The sequence below is a fragment of the Homo sapiens genome, chromosome 4, assembly GCF_000001405.40.
Source record: "Homo sapiens chromosome 4, GRCh38.p14 Primary Assembly".
In the NCBI taxonomy this organism is placed as follows: domain Eukaryota; kingdom Metazoa; phylum Chordata; class Mammalia; order Primates; family Hominidae; genus Homo; species Homo sapiens.
This window is the reverse complement of record NC_000004.12, coordinates 7,435,337-7,455,384: the sequence shown is the minus strand read 5'-3', so window position 1 is coordinate 7,455,384 and position 20,048 is coordinate 7,435,337. Positions and strand designations below refer to the sequence as shown.

Below are 20,048 nucleotides of genomic sequence, written 5' to 3'. Positions count from 1 at the left end.
CAACACACAGCTCCTGACCCCAACATAGCGCCTGACCCCAACACGGAGCCTGACCCCAACACAGAGCCTGACCCCAACACAGTGCCTGACCCCAACACACAGCACCTGACCCCAACACACAGTGCCTGACCCCAACACAGCGCCTGACCCCAACACGGAGCCTGACCCCAACACAGAGCCTGACCCCAACACAGTGCCTGACCCCAACACACAGCACCTGACCCCAACACACAGTGCCTGACCGCAACACAGCACCTGACCCCAACACACAGCTCCTGACCCCAACACAGTGCCTGACCCCAACACAGCAGCTGACCCCAACACAGCATCTGACCCCAACACACAGCACCTGACCCCAACACACTGCCTGACCCTAACGTGGCGCATGACACTAACACGGAGCCTGACCCCAATACAGCACCTGACCCCAACACACAGCTCCTGACCCCAACACACAGCACCTGACCCCAACACAGTGCCTGACCCCAACACAGCACCTGACCCCAACACACAGCACCTGACCCCAACACAGCACCTGACCCCAACACACAGCACCAGACCCCAACACAGTGCCTGACCCCAACACAGCACCAGACCCCAACACACAGCACTGACCCCAACACAGTGCCTGACCCCAACACAGCACCTGACCCCAACACACAGCTCCTGACCCCAACATAGCGCCTGACCCCAACACGGAGCCTGACCCCAACACAGAGCCTGACCCCAACACAGTGCCTGACCCCAACACACAGCACCTGACCCCAACACACAGTGCCTGACCCCAACACAGCACCTGACCCCAACACACAGCTCCTGACCCCAACACAGTGCCTGACCCCAACACAGCAGCTGACCCCAACACAGCATCTGACCCCAACACACAGCACCTGACCCCAACACACTGCCTGACCCTAACGTGGCGCATTACACTAACACGGAGCCTGACTCCAACACGGAGCCTGACCCCAACACAGCACCTGACCCCAACACACAGCACCTGACCCCAACACACAGCTCCTGACCCCAACACAGTGCCTGACCCCAACACAGCACCTGACCCCAACACACAGCTCCTAACCCCAACACAGCGCCTGACCCCAACACGGAGCCTGACCCCAACACAGAGCCTGACCCCAACACACAGCACCTGACCCCAACACACAGCACCTGACCCCAACACACAGCACCTGACCCCAACACAGCGCCTGACCCCAACACACAGCACCTGACCCCAACACACAGCTCCTGACCCCAACACAGTGCCTGACCCCAACACAGCACCTGACCCCAACACACAGCACCTGACCCCAACACACAGCTCCTGACCCCAACACAGTGCCTGGCCCCAACACAGCACCTGACCCTAACACAGAGCTCCTGACCCCAACACACAGCACCTGACCCCAACACACAGCACCTGACCCCAACACACAGCTCCTGACCCCAACACAGTGCCTGACCCCAACACAGCACCTGAACCCAACACACACCTCCTGACCCCAACACACAGCACCTGACCCCAACACACAGCTCCTGACCCCAACACAGTGCCTGGCCCCAACACAGCACCTGACCCTAACACACAGCTCCTGACCCCAACACACAGCACCTGACCCCAACACACAGCTCCTGACCCCAACACACAGCTCCTGACCCCAACACAGTGCCTGACCCCAACACAGTGCCTGACCCCAACACAGCACCTGAACCCAACACACAGCTCCTGACCCCAACACAGTGCCTGACCCCAACACAGCACCTGACCCCAACACACAGCTCCTGACCCCAACACAGTGCCTGACCCCAACACAGCAGCTGACCCCAACACACAGCACCTGACCCCAACACAGTGCCTGACCCTAACGTGGCGCATGACACTAACATGGAGCCTGACCCCAAGACGGAGCCTGACCCCAACACGGAGCCTGACCCCAACACAGCACCTGACCCCAACACACAGCTCCTGACCCCAACACACAGCTCCTGACCCCAACACAGTGCCTGACCCCAACACACAGCTCCTGACCCCAGCACAGTGCCTGACCCCAACACAGTGCCTGACCCCAACACACAGCACCTGACCCCAACACACAGCTCCTGACCCCAACACAGTGCCTGACCCCAACACAGCACCTGACCCCAACACACAGCTCCTAACCCCAACACAGCGCCTGACCCCAACACGGAGCCTGACCCCAACACAGAGCCTGACCCCAACACAGCACCTGACCCCAACACACAGCACCTGACCCCAACACACAGCTCCTGAACCCAACACAGTGCCTGACCCCAACACAGCACGTGACCCCAACACACAGCTCCTGACCCCAACACACAGCACCTGACCCCAACATGGAGCCTGACCCCAACACGGCGCCTGACCCCAACACGGAGCCTGACCCCAACACACAGCACCTGACCCCAACACACAGCACCTGACCCCAACACACAGCTCCTGACCTCAACACAGCACCTGACCCCAACACAGCGCCTGACCCCAACACGGCACCTGACCCCAACACAGCACCTGACCCCAACACAGCACCTGACCCCAACACGGAGCCTGACCCCAACATGGCGCCTGACACTAACACGTCCAAGCTCTTACGCTCTGCTGGACGCTGCTCACCTCATCTTTCCGGCAATCCTAGGAGCTGAGTCCTTTTACTGACATATTCTACAGAGGCAGAAACTGAGGCACAGAGTGGTAAGCCAGCTGCTGGGCATGTGGCTAGAGAGAGGCCCGGACATTGCCCGTGCCCTCGTGGGTCCAGATCCTCTGGTCCAGGAGTCAGCAGGAGAGCACATAGCTTACAGAAGGCTGGGGCAGGGCTCCCGGAAAACTGCATGCAGTTGGGGGTGATGTGTGTTTGAGGTGAAAACGGAAAAGCATCATAGACTTTGGCCAGCAGAAAAGAGGGGGAACAGAAGAACCTTCCAGGCCGAGCACAGTGGCTCATGCCTGTAATCCCAGCACTTTGGGAGGCCAAGGCAGGTGGATCACCTGAGGTCAGGAGTTAGAGACCAGCCTGGCCAATGTGGTGAAACTCTGTCTCTACTAAAAAATACAAAAATTACCCAGGCATGGTGGCATATGCCTGTAATCCCAGCCACTCAGGAGGCTGAGGCAGGCGAATTGCCTGAACATAGGAGGCAGAGGTTGCAGTGAGCCAAGATCGTGCCACTGCACTCCAGCCTGGGTGACAGAGCAAGTCTCCATCTCAAAAAAAAAAAAAGAAGAGCCTTCCATCTGGAAGGCAGAGTGGGAGCTGTGGGTCAGTGGTATCGGGTGTGTGGCACAAGGAGGAACATTCATGGTGGTGAGGGGAAGGCTGTGCAGAGCAGGAGGAGCCGGGCAGCTGGGGAGAGAAGGCACAGAATAGGGCCTGGGTCACACTGTGAAGGGCACTTCCTGCCTTGGCCAAATGTGCACTCGCGCAAGCACCTCAGGGGATCTCGCTCCTGTCCTGGGAGGAGGAAGGTGCTGCCTGCCAGGTGTCAGGGAATGTTCAGACCCAGCCTTGGCCCTGAGAAGCCTGGAGGGGCTTCAGCATCCTCTCTGAGCTCCCCGCTTCAGTCTGGCCCTCACTCCTCTGCAATCCTGCACCAGTGGGGTCTGGGACTCACAAAACCAGCCTGGCACACTCCTGCTCTGAACACTTCTATAGCCCCCCCACCACCCCAGTGGCAAAGCCCAGAATCCCTATGGTGGCAGTTGAGGGTCTCAACCCCACCTGTGCCCATGGGCAGACTGCATGCCACTAAGGCTTGCCCTGCCCTGTGTGCCCACAGCACGTGAATGGCCCAGTGGGGGCATGTCAGGTGTGTGGAAGGCTGGTCCCCCATGTCACCACTGAACACTCTTCAGGAGTAGGGACAGGTCTGAGAGCTGGGTATTCCCAGCACCCAGCACTGGGCTGACAAAGAGGTGTGCCTCGTGGATATCTGCCAGCTGCTAAGAGGGTGGAATCTGGAAACCATTTCTCATCCCTTGATGGGAAACTGAGGCCAAGGGAGGGCAGTGGCTTGGCCTCGGGGCTCCCAGCTGGGGTGTGGCAGGGGCTCCCAGAGACCAGGCCCCACTGCCGCTGCTGCTGCTGCTGCTGAAGACCTAGGCCCAGGCCCCAGGCCACTTCATTCATTCACTTACTCATTTATTCATTCATTCACTCACTCACTCCATCATGCATTCATTCACGCATTTATTCACTTGCTTGCTGATTCACTCACTCATTCTTTCACTCCCTCACTCACTCATTCGTTCATTCACTCACTCATTCACTCACTCAGTCACTCATGCATTCACTCACTCTCCCATCCATTCACTTATTCACTCACTCATTCACTCACTCATTCCCTCACTTCCTCATTCATTCACTCCCTCATTCACCCACTCAGTCACTCATGCATTCACTCACTCTCCCATCCACTCACTCATTTACTCACTCATTCCCTCACTTCCTCATTCATTCATTCACTCCCTCACTCATTCACCCACTCAGTCACTCATGCGTTCACTCACTCTCCCATCCATTCACTCATTCACTCACTCATTCACACACTCATTCCTCATTCCTTCCCTCATTCATTCATTCCCTCATTCACTCTCTCATTTACTCACTCACTCTCTCACTCATTCATTCAGTCACTCATTCATGCACTCACTCCCTCATTCACTCACTCAGATTCATTCAGTCTGCTGCGGATGTACATGTCCCATGTGCCAGGCCTCATACAGGTGCTGGAGCTCAGGGCAGGAGAGCCCTGGACAGCTGGGGAACATATGTGTGTGAGAGAAGGCACGGATGCATCCTTACACACAGCACCTACAGCTGTGGTGAGTCCTGCGGGGCAAGGTTGGGAGCCTGACCTGGAATGGGGGCATTGGCATGTGGGTCACAGTTACCCAGAAGCTGCTGAGCAGACACAAAGATGATGGGGCCTCGCCTGACACTCAACCGTGATGGTTGACAACTTCTGGAGGACCTGGGGGCCCAAGAAAGGGCTGGAGAGCAGGTGTAGGGGCTGCAGCTGCCCCCTCCAGCTTGGCAGCCAAGTGATGATTTCCCTGGCTCCTTTAATTCCTCCCACAGCCTAGAGGGTCACACACCGTGTCACTCCAGAGAGCCTGTCACCACCAGGCAGAGCTCATGAGTCACAGACAGGGGGTCCTTAAAGACCCTGCCAGAAAGTACCCCAGACACAGATGAGGACACTGAGGCTGAGGCACTGGGGGCTGCCTGCCTGAAGCCACATGCAGTCTGCAGAGCCCAGGTCCCGAAGGCACCAAGGGCCTTGCCCACATCCATCCTGGGACCCTCCTTTCTGGAGAAACCCTGACAAGACACAGGAAAACGCCCAGCCCCACGTGTCCCAGGGGCCCCATTCTTCAGGTTGTTGGAGGGTAAGCAGGAAAGCAAACATTATTTGTTTAACTAATTTCAAGGATCGAGAATTTTCCAGATGTCTCCCCAGCTCCCACCTCTCCCGCCAGCCCCAAGTACCTTCCTCATGAACCTCTCTGGGAGGGCGGGGTGGCTCCTGGGAACCCTAGGCATGAAGAAATGTCTGGCTAGTGGGGATGCCATTGGATTCCGGGAACACTGGAGCGATTTCCGAGGCCAAAGATGGCTGGAGACAGCACAGACTCTGTCTTCTGAGAAGCCGCTTCCCTCCAGGGCCAACATGGAAGAGGAGGATGTGGGGGCTCCGGAGGACCTTGCACAGAGCCAAGCCCACCCAACGTGAATCCATGAACAAACACATGGCAGCCCCCAGCATCTACCAAGGGCCAGGTGCATCCTGAACCTGGTGCTGGGTCGCAGAAGCCCTGTCAGGCAGGAAGTGTCATCCCCATCTCACAGGCAGGGAGACCAGAGGCACAACGTCACGTGGTAACTTGCCCAAATTCACCCATAGGTGGGAAGAAAAGCAAGGGTTTGTTTCCTGGTCAGTCTGTACGTTCCATCCTGGGCTATTGTGAAGGTGCTGGGAGGGAGGGAGGGAGGGGAGAGAAAGGAAGGAAGGAAAGGAGGGAAGAAGGAAGGGAGAAGGGAAGGAAGAGAGAAGGGAAGAAAGGGGAGGAAGGGAGGGAGGAAGGGAGGGAGGAAGGGAGGGAGGGAGGGAGGGAGGGAGGGAGGGAGGGAGGGAGGGAGGGAGGGAGGAAGAGAGGGAGGAAGGGAGGGAGGGAGGGAGGGAGGAAGAGAGGGAAAAGAGGAAGGGAGGGAGAGAGGGAAAAGAGGAAGGGAGGGAGGGAGGGAGGGAGGAAGGGAGGGAGGAAGGGAGGGAGGAAGGGAGGGAGGGAGGGAGGAAGGGAGGGAGGGAGGGAGGGAGGGAGGGAGGAAGAGAGGGAGGAAGGGAGGGAGGGAGGGAGGAAGAGAGGGAAAAGAGGAAGGGAGGGAGAGAGGGAAAAGACAGGAAGGGAGGGAGAGAGGGAAAAGAGGGAGGGAGGGAGGGAGGGAGGGAGGCAGGGAGGGAGGGAGGGAGGGAGGGAGGGAGGGAGGAAGAGAGGGAGGAAGGGAGGGAGGGAGGGAGGAAGAGAGGGAAAAGAGAGAAAGGGAGGGAGGGAGGGAGGGAAAAGAGGAAGGGAGGGAGGGCGGGATGGAGGGGAGAGAAAGGAAAAGAGGGAGGGAGGGGAGAGGAAGTACGGAAGGGAGGGAGGAAGAAGGGAGGGGAGAGGAAGGCAGAGAGAGGAAGGAAGGGAAGGAGGAAGGCAGGGACGGAGGAAGTCAGGAAGGCAGGCAAGAAATAAGGAAGGAAGGAAGGAAGGAAGGAAGGGATAGAGGAAGAGAGGGAAAGGAGAGGAAGGAAGCAAGGGAGGGTAGAGAAAGGGAGGGAGGAAGGAAGGAAGGAAGAGAGGAAGGGAGGGAGGGAGATGGAAAGGAAAGGAAGGGAGACATGGAAGAAGGAAGGGAGAGAGGGAGGGAAGGAGACGAGGGAGGGGAGAAGAGAAGGAATGAAGGAGGGAGGGAATGAAGAGGAAGGAAGGGAGGAAGACAGGCAGGCAAAACCCTTCCTTGGACTACAGGAACCTAGAGTCCAGCATCTCTCTCTGTGCCTGGCCGGCGCAGGGCCCTAAGCACGCCTTGGCCACACTGGGTGACGTGGGAGATGCCCCTTGCCCTGCGCCGCAGTTCCACCTCCAGGCGCCACACTCCGGCCACTCTCCCTGCTTGCTTGCACGCCACAGGGCCCGGAGCAGCAGGACAGTGGGGGGCACGAAACACAACTGTGCCTCAGAAAGAAAGCAGCCACACTGCTGGTTCTTCCCACAGTGGACTCTCGCCTACGTACAGGGATGTGTTTCCTGGACGTAACACAGGGTGAAGAAGAGCGAGCCTCCGCTGACCCCAGCACGAGCCGCTCATACACATTCAAGGCCGGCAGCACAGCGGCATATGTGGCAAAACCGAGCAGGCGTGGATGGGAAGGGAGCGCATCAGCCTGCGTGTGAAGGCCACATCTAGGGGCGGAGGGAGGGGAGAAACACCTCTGCCGTATCTGCAGTGTTTCACTTCTCTCAGTAACCCAAAACGCACATGCAGAATGCTCCCATCTGTGGGACATCCTGGGATGCACAGGCTCCGTTCCATCCTGGGTCGTAGTTTGTTTCATAATTCCAGTTTCGAAATGCCCGGCTCCGTCTTCCAAGAGCAGCAGCCTCCTCGGGGTCCTGCCCCGAGCCTGTCCCCATGGCTGCTGAGCCTGGAGGACCCCCGTGCTCTGGCAGCCAAGTTTTGAGGTCCACAGTCCCAATGCATGGATGGACTTATTTGTGAGTTGCATATCTATCTCTCCCTGCAAAACAGAACCCTTTCCAGAATAGAAGAAAAATCCAAATAGAAATGATGGATCTACTATGATCCAAGTGCACATACTGGCTTCATCGGAAGTGTAAATTCAGGTCAACCCTGGCTCTGAACTTCCCTAAGCCTCAGTGTTCCCATCTGGAAAATGGACACTATATTGAGGGTTTACCATGTGCCAGGGACTTAGCCGGATGTTCTAACTTGTGACCCTTGTCAGGCACTAGTAGGATCCTCTCTTTACACACAAGGCAAGGCACGGAGGCAGAAGTCAGCTCACACAGGCAGGGGATGCTCAGGATGACATGATCCACTCTCAGACACCAGGGCCTAGGCACCCTTCCCCTCAGCAACCCAGTAACCTCCCTGCAGGGAGTTACAAGGAGGATGCAACTGCTTTCACAGCCTCGGAAGGAACCAACTCTGCCCATACCTTGATCTAGGACTTCCAGCCCCCAGAACTGAGCACACGGGGTCCTTTTGGGACCTGCTTCTATAAGAAAAGTACTTGTCAGTAAAGGTGACATGGCTTCTTCTCTGTGCTGGGAGAGCCAGCCCCGGATGTATCTCAGCACAGTGGGGTGAGGAGGTGAGCCAGGCTCAGAGACAGCCCGGCTGAAGGTGAAGGAAACCTTAGTCCTGCAGCAGGCTGCCATGACCTAGGGTGAGCCTCAGTTTCTGCAATGGGAAATGGGGCTAACCCTGCAGACTTGACATTCACAATGGCTTAGTGGTTTCTCCAGGAAGGACACAGGTCCTATCTCCATGTCCCGGGGTTTCCCCACGACACTGCACGTACAATTGCCCCTGGTGGCCACTGCTAAGGGATGCCTGGCACAGCTGGCATTAAAACTAGGGTGCACCCCCTTGTATGCCAGGAACAGGGGCTCAAAGGAAGCATGGCCCCTGCACTCAAGCCCCAACTCCAGGCCTGGATTCCACCCCTCATCACCCCAACAAGGCTGCTCAGGGTCATGCTGGGGACAAAGGAGCAGGCTCAGTCCCTCCCGAGGGCTCAGGAAAGGCCAGCTGCAGAGGCAGCCCCTCAGCAGTGTCCCAGGCATCTGAGTTGATTGGAACGATCCTACAGCACCCCAGCTTGTACCCCAACACTCACAAATACTCAATGATGACCCTATGGGTAGAATTGTGTCCCCTAAAATTCATATATTGAAGCCCCAATCCCTAGTGAAGCTACCTGTAGCCCCTGATGCTGCGGACGCCACTGCGAGGTGCCATGGCAGGGGCGGTGCTGAAAGCCACCCACAGCTCCTGGGGTGGGTGGGGCATAGGGCCGAGTGCTTGTGTCCCTCCAACTCACTGTGCGACATCAGAGGCTTACTGATGCTCAGCTCTGCTGGGAAATAAGGTTCTTTTCTTCCCTCCCCTCCCCTCCCCTCCCTACCTCCTTCCTTTATCCCCATCCCTCCAACCCCCAGTCTGACCTCTTTCATTGGCTTTAAGCTCAACCAAAAGGGAAGGGAAAAGAAGAGAAGACAGGGAGGAAGGAAGGAAGGGGGAAGAAATGAAAGGAAAGGAATGAAAGAGGGAGAGAAGGAAGGAAAAAAAAGAAAAGACAAAGGAAAGAAAGCAGCTTCGAGGCATTTGGCTCTGGCCTGAGGAACTGTGCAGGTGTGAGGGGTGGGCCTGGGCAGGTGAGCACCTGTCCCCCATCCCTCTACTCTCAGGGCCAGTGGGGATGCTGCCTGTGGCCCCAGGGATGACAGCTCTGACCAGGAAAAGCAGCTGGCCATCCCTGGGCCTCTCTGGAGTCCTGTACTTCCCGACGTATCCAGCCCCCAGCAACCCAGGAGGGTTGGGTCTGCCTCAACCCTGACAAAAGGGCAGCCTGACAGGTGAGTGACTGGCCCAGGGCCACAACATCCTGAGCAATGCCACTTAGAGAAGCGTTTAGGCCCTTGCCTCCTCCTCTGGCCTCCCTGCAGCCCCCATCCTGGCCTCCATCCCGCCCTGTTCTGCCTTCAGCGCCCAGCTTCTGAACAGAAGCCAAGGAGTCCAGCCCTGGTGCTTCCCCTCGGCCCCGCTCCATCCACAGGACCTGCTGCCGCGCCCCAGGCCTTCTTCCACTCATGGAGGGCAGCTGTGATTCAAAATCACCCAAATTCCTCCCTCCAGGAGGCCTCATGCTCTTCCCAGGATGCCCTCCCACATCTTGGGCTGTGAATCCAGCAGCCCCCTCCAGACCCGGCTCTCCCCCATCAACCCTGGCTCCTCTCCCCCGGCTTTCCCTCTGGATGTCCCCAACCTCAGAACCTCAAACACCAGCCAGAGCCTGTGACTTCTGTACTTGCTCCTCAGGTCTGGCCCTTACTGCCAAGTCCCAAGTATCTGTTGCAAGGGTGCCTCTGCAGGCATGTCCCAGAGACTCTCACCCTCACCAGGTTGGCCCTGAGGTCTCCATCTGCCTCCCACAACCCAGTCCTGACCTCCTGGGAGAAGAGACAGCCAGCCCATCTTGCAAGTCTGGGCCTCCCCCAATCCCTCCCTCTTGCCACCCGCAGCAATGGTCCAGTCCTATATCCCTCCCCGCCCTCCCTCTGCTCCCCGCCCTGGATCAGGCCACCTGGGTGTTGCAACCACAGCCCAACAGGTCTGCCTGCCTGGGTCGCCTCCTCCGGTTCATCGTCCAAGTGGCCCAGGCCAAACGTTCGGTGTGTTCCTGACTCTTCTCTTTCTCGCACATGCCACATTCAAACCAACTACAAATCCTGTTTATTGGCTCTAACTTCAAGCAGATGCTGAATCTGCAGCCTGTCACCTACGGTCGCCACCTGAGGCCCTGTGGCTTCTCCTCTAGACCACCACAGTCGCCTCTGACTCCTCCTCGGCATGCTCCCTGCTTCCACCCTGGCCCCAGATCCATCCTTTTAGAAGCACCATGGGATCATGTCAGCCCTCTGCTCAAAACCCTGCTATGGCTCCCCACTACCCTCAGAGGAAGAAGCAGAGTCCACCTACATGATCCCTCTGACCGTGGCGCCTTCTGCTCCTGCCCCCATCACTCCGCTCAAGTCTCCTGGCCCCTGTTCTTCCTGCACCCAGCTGCCACAGGACCTTTGCACAGGCTGGCCTTGCTGCTTGGTGCACACTCAGACACTGACCTCTCTCAACTCCTCCAAGTTTACACTCAAATGTTTTGTTGAATCACAGAGGCCTCCCCTGAACACACATGCTCCTGTCCCCAGGCCCCTTACAACCTATACAATGTCTCCACCTCTCCACCTCACTCATCACTTTCCTCCATATTGTAACACTTATTATGTGTTGTTTAATTTCTGCTTCCTCCGCTAGAATATAAGTTCCAAGAGTACAGGGTTTCTGTCTGTTTTGTTAACTCAAATATTCCCAGGACCTAGAATAGCACTCAGCACATAGTAGGCTCTTAGTAAATAATTGCTGAATACGCGTATGAAAATAAAGCCAAATAAACATGGTACAAGTGTTTGCTTTTAGGATCTGCCTATTTCCCCTCTTCTAACAGGGAAGGAGAGATTCTGCCTATTTCACCAGCCCTCAACCTTCACCTGTGGGGATAAGACAGCCCCTTTACCTGTGGGTGAGGCACTCCCAACTCGCTCAAGGAGCTTTTGGGGTCAGGTGGACATGTGGGGCCCATTGTGTTAAGATCGGCCAGCAGCGGCAGCCAGGCCAGGGAGGTGGAGGCTGGCATGCCCACATTGGGGAGGACCCCTGTTGGAAACCACCTATGGGCCTTCTGATGCCGTGGGAGGAGCCACAGACTCAGGAACGAGGAGGCCAGGCCACATGGGAGATGCTTGGCCAGTTCAGCATTCTGTACTTTTCCCTCTAACGCCAAGGTGCTGAGGCCTCGGAAAGAAGGTTTCTGACTCTGGAGGTGTGGCCTCAAGGCCCCAAAGTCCTGAGTCTCAACACCTAAGTTTCTGTGGTCTCCGGTCCTTATGCCGTGGACCCTGGGTCTCTGCACCTTATGATAAGGCTAAGCCTTAGGACACGGCTTCTAAATGTCTGGAGTTGGGGCCACTGTGGCTGGAAGTTTCAGCGTCTCTCAAGGTTTCGGGTTGTAGGGACTAAGGAACCAGGGTTCTGGCTCCCAAAACTCCCTGCGTCTCAGGCCTGTGTGATCTCAGGGGGTTGAGGCTCCATTCGCGGCTGTGCGCTCAGAAGGGCTTTAGAGGCAGCAGCCAGAGACTGGTGAGTCCTAGGTGCTCCACAAACACCCGGGTGCCCGCCCTAAGATGCTGTGCACCACAGGTGGCCTCCCCTTCCAGACTTCTTAGGGCCAAGGCTGGATCTGAACCACAGTTGAGTTTAAGGTCAAGGTCACCAGCGCCCAGAATCCATCAGTGGAGGGTGGAACTGTGCCCCCTTCCTCCCAAAAAAAGATATGTTCAAGTCCTAACCCTGGTACCTGTGATCTGACATAATTTGGAGCTAGGGTTTTTACAGATGTAATTAGTTGAGATGAGGTCATATTCAATTCAGATGGGCCCTAAATCCAATGACTGGTATTCTCATAGGAAGAAGGAAATTTGGACACAGAGAAGAAAGCCACAACAGAGGCAGAGGCTAGAGCAAGGCGGCTGCAAACCCCGGCCCGGGGAAGATTGCTGGCCCCCACCAGAACCTGGGAGGAAGCAGGAAGGAGCCTCCCCGCAGCCTTCGGAGGGAGCACGGCCCCGCCAACACTCTGATTTTGGACGTCAGACCCCCAGAACTGCAAAAGGAGTTCCGGTTGTTTTCGGCCACCCCGTCTGTGGTACACTGTTTTGTCAGCCTGAGGAACCTCCATACTGTTCACATGAGTTCCAGGGCACCTGCGAAAGCCCACGTGCTGGGGCTGGGCTGGGGGTGCTGCTCTCCGCTTTGTTGATATCATGAAACAGGGCAGAAACCACAGCCTCAGAGCTGACCTCTGCGGCAGGGCAGAGCTGGGGGAGGGGGTGGAGGGTCATCTGGGCTGGGGGAGGGGGTGGATGGTGACCTGGGCTGTGACAGGAGGTGGATGACGACCTGGGCTGGGAGAGGGGGTGGAGGGTGATCTGGGCTGGGGGAGGGGGTGGAGGGTGATCTGGGCTGGGGGAGGGGGTGGAGGGTGATCTGGGCTGGGGGAGGGGATGGAGGGTGATCTGGGCTGGGGGAGGGGGTGGAGGGTGATCTGGGCTCGGGGAGGGGGTGGATGGTGACCTGGGCTGTGAGAGGAGGTGGATGACGACCTGGGCTGGGAGAGGGGGTAGAGGGTGATCTGGGATGGGGGAGGGGGTGGAGGGTGATCTGGGCTCAGGGAGGGGGTGGAGGGTGATCTGGGCTGGGGGAGGGGGTGGAGGGTGATCTGGGCTGAAGGAGGGGGTGGAGGGTGATCTGGGCTGGGGGAGGGGGTGGATGGTGACCTGGGCTGTGAGAGGAGGTGGATGACGACCTGGGCTGGGGGAGGGGGTGGAGGGTGATCTGGGCTGGGGGAGGGGGTGGAGGGTGATCTGGGCTGAAGGAGGGGGTGGAGGGTGATCTGGGCTGGGGGAGGGGATGGAGGGTGATCTGGGCTGGGGGAGGGGGTGGATGGTGACCTGGGCTGTGAGAGGAGGTGGAGGGTGATCTGGGCTGGGGGAGGGGGTGGAGGGTGATCTGGGCTGGGGGAGGGGGTGGAGGGTGATCTGGGCTGGGGGAGGGGGTGGAGGGTGATCTGGGCTGGGGGAGGGGGTGGAGGGTGATCTGGGCTGGGGGAGGGGGTGGAGGGTGATCTGGGCTGGGGGAGGGGGTGGAGGGTGATCTGGGCTGGGGGAGGGGGTGGAGGGTGATCTGGGCTGGGGGAGGGGGTGGAGGGTGATCTGGGCTGGGGGAGGGGGTGGAGGGTAATCTGGGTTAGGGGAGGAGGTGGATGACAACCTGGGCTGGGGCAGGAGGTGGAGGGTGATCTGGGCTAGGGGAGGGGGTAGATGGTGATCTGGGCTGGAGGAAGGGGTGGATGATGATCTGGGCTGGGTAGCTCCCAGGCTCTACCCTTCCTTGGCTTCTCAAATCTCTGAGTGGAAAGGGGTTATGGCAAGGGCGCTTCCCTCTCCTGCCGGCCTGCGCCTCCCCTGCACCCTGCCCAGCCCTCGGCACCCACACTCAGCTCAGGTATGAGTCAGGGCATCCCACTCAGCCTCCAGCCACCCTCACCCAGCTCATCAGGCTGTCCCCACTCACTGCCCGGCTCTGCCAGGCAGAAGCAGGCCTCTGTATGCAGTGCCTTTCCCACAACTGCTGCTCACCTGGAAGCAGCCCCGACCCTGGCCTCAGGCTGCCCCTCACCTGGGGTGCGGCTCTTTCCAGCTTTTGCAAAGGCAGTATTTGGGAAATGCCACCTCCACCTTCCCAGAAGCAGCCAACAACTCCTTCTAGCCTCACTCTTCACCTGCCCTCTGACCCTCCCTGCTACTCAGTTGGCAGCTCGTGCCCACACTGGGGCCTTCGCCCTTGCCGAGTCCCCCTCTTGGGGTGCTATCCCCTGGGTACCCACTTCATCCCAGTGCTGAGCTCACACCTGCTTCCCAGGGACCGACAGCACCACCTCTCCCCAAATCTCCACCTTCCCCCACGGTCTCACCCCACGAAACTCCCTTCTGCCTGCCATTTGAGTGCTCACTCATTCATGGTCTGTCTCTCCACCGCAAAGAGCCACTCCTCATCCGTCTTCATCCCCATTGAGCCCCTAGTACCCAGCAGCCCTCACCCCGCAGCTCCCAGCAGGGCTTGGAAAATGATCGTGAAATGAGTGACCCGTGATGCCCACCCTCGAGGCCCCATGTGGCCGGGCAATGAAGCTGGGCCCCAGAGAGGGACAGGAGGGTCCCCCAGGAGACTTGGGAAGGGCAGAGGGGAGGAGAGGCAGCATGAGGGTGGGCAGGGAGCAAGTGGCAGCAGTTGGTGACCAGGCAGAGGGGATGGGAGACAGGTAAGATGGTGCTGTCTAGGCCCCCAAGTTCCAGAGCAGGCTGGGCAAGCCCCACTGGGCTTCAGGAGAAGGAGGCAACTCTGTTACCCTGCCCCTCCTCATTCAGAGAGAGGAACGGTAGCGTGTGGCACTGTGTACACAAGGTAACCCCTTCCCTTCTGCATGGCAGGGCCACAAGGGCCAATGGTGAAATGGGGGTGAAAGGGCCAAAGCCTCAGAAATTGGAGGTAAGCATGTTGTTCCTATTCGTGCTCTCCCTTGGTCAGCATCAAACCCTCCCTTACACTCTCTGAAAGATGGCTGTCCTTGAAGCAAGCCGCAGGCAGACTCTGTCCCCCCAGAACAATTATTTGGGGAGAGAGCTCCCCTCTTTGTTCCCTCCTCCCCGGTCCCAGACTCCAGGTCAGGGTCCTACCTGCAACGCAGCCTCCTCCCCCGCTCCCTAATTCCATTGTGGCCAGGCTCGTCTTTACTTGGGGAGAAAATGTGAATACCTTGCATGTAGCTTTTTGAAACAAATGGGGTTTACAATAAAAAAATAAATACAGCCAATGGTAGCATTTGTTAAAGTGTGGGTGGAGGATGAATGTCTGTGATACCATTCTCTGCATTTTCTGAAGGGGTGAAATCAGAGCCACAGGCAGCAATCAGCACCAGCAACATGGGTGGTTGACAGCAGCTGCTGTGGTCACTTCGGAGAAGTCCTGGGGAATCTGCTCAGCACATACCCACCTGCCCCCACAGGTGCACACCCTACAGAAACATTCTGCACACCATCTGACGTCACCAAGATGTTTGGAGCAGCCATGTTTGAATAACCCCAAACTGGAAACCACCCCATGCCAGCTCATGGTGGATAAATAGAGTGTGAGAAAGCCACACAATGAAGCACTGCCCAGCAAGGTGAAGAAACAGCCTACAGTTGTGGGAACAACATGCCTGGATCTCATAACATCAAGCGAAAGAGGCAGGGACGGAGGACATCCTTTCCCTCCTGTTCAACTCCACCAATGCGAGGTTCAAGAACAGGCAAAATTAATCTGTGGGAGAAAAGTGTTTGCTCTCATTGACAAGTAACTGGGAAGGAGCACTCAGGACCATTCTGCCCCTTGACTAGGGTGTGCGTTCTGCAGGTGTGTGAAGATGTGTGTGTTTAGCTGTAGGTGAAATTTATCTCAGCAGAATAAAAAGAAATGTGTAGCAAGAGAGAGCTCTAGTTAGCAGGGTTTGCATTTCACAGTGCTATGGATTGGTGTTTCTAAAATGTCTTGGGTATATTCTAGGGTTCAGTAAGGGGTAAATAGGTTAAAAATCATGGGAGCCAAGCCTCTCACTGTTGGGCAGGGGAGTTACACTGCACTGAGTGTTGGAAGTATCAGTATGAACTCGTAGTCTTGTGAAGATGGATGGATGAATATGTTACATATACACACGTGTGTGTTTGTATATATATATATACAAACTCCTTCCTTCCTTCCTTCCTCTTTCACCCCATGTCAGGAAGAGGTAAGGTTTTCACTCAGAGGGCCTAAAAGGCACGACAGCACAGGAGCAATGAGCACATTTCATATCCAGATCTTGGTTTCTAAACACCATGTTCCCTGGAGAACAGGCTGATTCCAGGGCTGGCTCAAGGAATAAAAAAGATGAGCCTGGAACATGCCCTGTGCTGGAAAGTACAGAAGTGCCAAAGAAGGATGCCTGAGGGGACTCCCACAGATCACATCTGGGACAATTTAGGCATCAAAAACAATGAATGATATGAAAAAAGCATGTGCAAATATATACATGTGTGGGGACAGATGGGTAGGTGACTAGGTAGGTGGACAGGTGAGAGGAAAGGAGGGAGGGGTAGTGAGAACCTCGAAGCAAGTGGGACAGGTGTGTTGGATTATAGTCTATTAAATAAACTTTTTTTAAAAAAACATAAGTAAAAAATAATTCTGAGTCTTTTAAAAAAGAAAAAAGGAAAGAGGAAGGAAGGAAAAAGAGAGGCAGGGAGGGAGAGAGGAGAAAGGGAACAGAAGGAAGGAGAGAGGAAGGGGAGATAAAGCTTTTTTATTCACAGAAGAATACAAACTAATCAATAGAGAAGGAAGACAGAGCTAGAAAATGATGGGCAGGTGCGCAAATAAATGCATAAACATTTGATGAGGAACAAGATAGTTACATATTTTCAGAATACCTTTCTAAATGTTGCTTATTAATTACAAGTGGGAAATAACTTTACAGAGAAGGAAGCTGGTAGATCTTCTCCAAGTGATCAAAGATCACACATGCTGATAAATCAACAATGGCCCCCCACACGATGCATGACCTGGGTCTGGTCAAGAGGAAAGCCCAGTCAGACCTGCACAGAGGGACATTCTACAAAATAACCAGCTGGTTCCCCAGTGCTACAAAAGAAAACACAAAGCTGCCATCAGCTCCCGATGGAAGGCCTCTGAGGCACCATGACCAGGAATTGCATCGTGTGAGCCTGGACTGGGGCTGGACCTGGGAAATCAATGCCACATGGGGCAGCACTGGGGCTGCTGGTAAAGCTGAACTGGGCTGTGGGTTAAATTCTAGTATTGTATCCACACTACAGTTCTTTATTTTCATAAATGCACCGTGGTTATGAGAGAATGTCCTGGTCCTTAGGAAATAGGCACCAAAGTAACTGGGGTAAAGAGATACAATGTCTCCACCTACGCTCGAAGGTTATAAAAAAATTACGTGCAAATATATACATGTGTGTGGACAGACAGGTAGGTGGCTAGGTAGGTGGACAGACAGGTGAGAGGAAAGGAGGGAGGGGCAGTGAGAACCTCGAAACAAGTGGGGCAGGTGTGTCTGGGCAAAGGTACTCGGGAGTGCCTTGTACCCTTCTTGCAGCCATCCTTTAAGTAATCCAACATCATCCCCGCCATGGGATAAAAAAAAAAGTGTTTGGTTTTGTCCCCACTTTCTGGCACAGAGCTCCAACCCTTGGAATTTGCTGAGTGACAGAAGTGTATTTCGTTATTCATAATGACCCCCTCTGACCACACCTGAGTTTATGCTAATGAGGTGACCTACAGTGGGGTCCCTAGATGGCCTCTGATGGGGCTGGTCACCAGAAAGACCAAGCCATTCGAGGACTGGAACTTCCAGCCCCACCCCCTGGCCTCTGGGAAGGGGTGGGGGCTGCTGGAGATTAAACTCTGGAAAAACTCTTGGACAATGAGGTTTGATGAGCTTCTGGGTTGGTGAACACATGGGGGCGTGAGGAGGGTGGCACACCCAGAGGGTGTGGAAGCCCTGCACCCCGGCCCCTAGTCCTTGCCTTGTACACAGCCTCCTGAGTCATATCTTTCATGATAAATAAGAAATGTAAGCAAACGGTCTCCTGAGTCCTATGAGCCACCCTAGAGAATTATCAAACCCGAGGAGGGGGTCTCAGGACCCTGGTTTATAGCCACTTCGTCAGAAGTACAGGTGCCAACCTCGGACCTGTGATTATTAGCATCTACAGTGGGGGCTGAGCCCTTAACGTGTGGGGTCTGTGCTAACTCCAGGTAGTTGGTGTCAGAACTGAAAGGAATTACAGGGCTCCCAGTTGGCGTCTGTAAGAATCGGTCGTTGGTGTTGGAAAACACCCCAGTCCCCGAAACAAAACAGACATGGAGCAATCAGAATTCCTCAAATGCTGCTGAGGGGAGTGGGAACGGGCACAACCACTTTGGAAAGCGATCCAGCAGTACCTGCTCAACACACACGACGCATGCCCAATCCGTGCCGCTCCTCCATAAGACCCAGCAGAGAAGGGAAGACACGTGTGCATCCAAGACATACACAGAAGTGTTCGGGGCAGCGTTACTTCTACTGGCTCCCAAGTGGAATTGTTCCAAAGGCCCATCAAGGGTCGAGTAGACAAATCCACCATGGTGCACTGACCTAATTAATACACACCCAGGGCCCAGTGGGGCATTCCACCTGCCCAGTGGAATTCTACCCAGAAACGACAATGTCGGCTCTACAGCTAAACACAGCAGCGTGGGTCAATCATACAAAGACAATGCCGAGCCAAGAAGTCCTTCATTATCGGGATGTTGTGCCAGGCTCAAGGGATGTCAGGATGAGGAGGACATTCTGGCCTCCTGGGTCGCACCCCCTCAGTGCAAGAGACCAAGGCAGCGCCGTGGGGGTGGGGTCTCAAGAGACTCGCAGGAAGTCTGGCACACAGCTGCGTTCACGCCAAGGGGCAGGCCCTTCTGTTTGCTTCAGCCTGGTGCCCAAAGTCCTGGTGGGATGCGAGTGGGTGCCCTGGGAATGTCAGGCGATGGACTGAATGAATGGCAGGCCCATCATAAGCCCATAGAAATGTATCAACACGTGCTTGGCTGAGCCAAGTCCAGGTAAGGACACCCACGTCTCCAGCCCCACCTGGGGTATGACCTGGAGGTGCTGGCCAGCTGCCATCCTGCAGCTGAGCACACCCAGGCTCACCTGTTCCCTAAGACTGTCCCCTCCACTGGTCCCCAGCAACCAGAGTCCTTGGAAGTCACTGCAAGAACTCAGCAAATCCTATTTTCCGTCTTCTCTTCCTGACCCCTGTACCCAGCAGGAGGGCTGGCGGGAAGCACCCTGCACTATTGCATTCCTCATGTGTGGCTGTTGCAATTTCAGGCCAGGCTGCCCGACCCACATAACTGGGAAGTGTGTTCCTACAGAGCACCCAAGCCCAGGAAGCTGAGCTGAGGACACCCACATGTGGGGCTAGGGGAGCCCCCTGCCATCAAACCTCTGGCCTGCCCACTCCATGGCTGTTTGGCAATTAGGCCAGAGGTGAGGCTGACTCCAGATTTCTCCATTTAATGAACAGGACCCGACGCAAGGCGCCTGTGCGTGCTCACCCAGCTGACTCTCTTGCCTAAGAACTATTTTAAAAACTAAGGAAGAAGAAAAAGATAAGATAACAGATGACACAGAAACGAAACAAACCTCTTTTGTGTGTGTGTACCTTCAACAAACATTTAATCTACGCCTACTACAGACCAGCCCACACTCAGCCTTTGATTGACATTTCTAGAATGAAGAGACCGGCTGGGCTCGAGGACCTGAGTTTGCAAGTGGCTTTTGCGGTGTGGCAGTGAGGTCCACAGCTCTCCCACTTCACAGTTTAAGACCTGAAGCTCAAAGAGACTAACTCCCCAAACAGCACAGCCAGGGGCAGAACCCCAGCTGGGCACGTGGCCCTGAGGCCACGTTAGAAAACAGTGGCATCCAGGGGGTGGCCAGTCATTGGGAACACTCGATCTTCAGCAAATAAGGCAGAGGGTGCC

The 20,048-nt window shown here is 56.0% G+C and overlaps 1 protein-coding gene across 8 annotated transcripts in view, besides 2 other annotated features; it reads right to left on the bottom strand.

Moving 5' to 3' along the window:
• The window catches only part of SORCS2 (sortilin related VPS10 domain containing receptor 2), a 550,290-nt gene that overhangs the window by 287,443 nt on the left and 242,799 nt on the right, over positions 1 to 20,048 (bottom strand). The gene's annotated exons all lie outside the window — the stretch shown is intronic.
• Positions 9,230 to 9,745: an enhancer, noted in NCBI's record as "H3K4me1 hESC enhancer chr4:7447367-7447882 (GRCh37/hg19 assembly coordinates)". NCBI's record gives its function as "activates a minimal SCP1, AML or CMV promoter by ChIP-STARR-seq in naive and primed H9 embryonic stem cells {active_cell/tissue: H9 hESC(naive and primed)}" and the evidence as "EXISTENCE:reporter gene assay evidence [ECO:0000049][PMID:30033119]".
• Positions 9,746 to 10,262: an enhancer, noted in NCBI's record as "H3K4me1 hESC enhancer chr4:7446850-7447366 (GRCh37/hg19 assembly coordinates)". NCBI's record gives its function as "activates a minimal SCP1, AML or CMV promoter by ChIP-STARR-seq in naive and primed H9 embryonic stem cells {active_cell/tissue: H9 hESC(naive and primed)}" and the evidence as "EXISTENCE:reporter gene assay evidence [ECO:0000049][PMID:30033119]".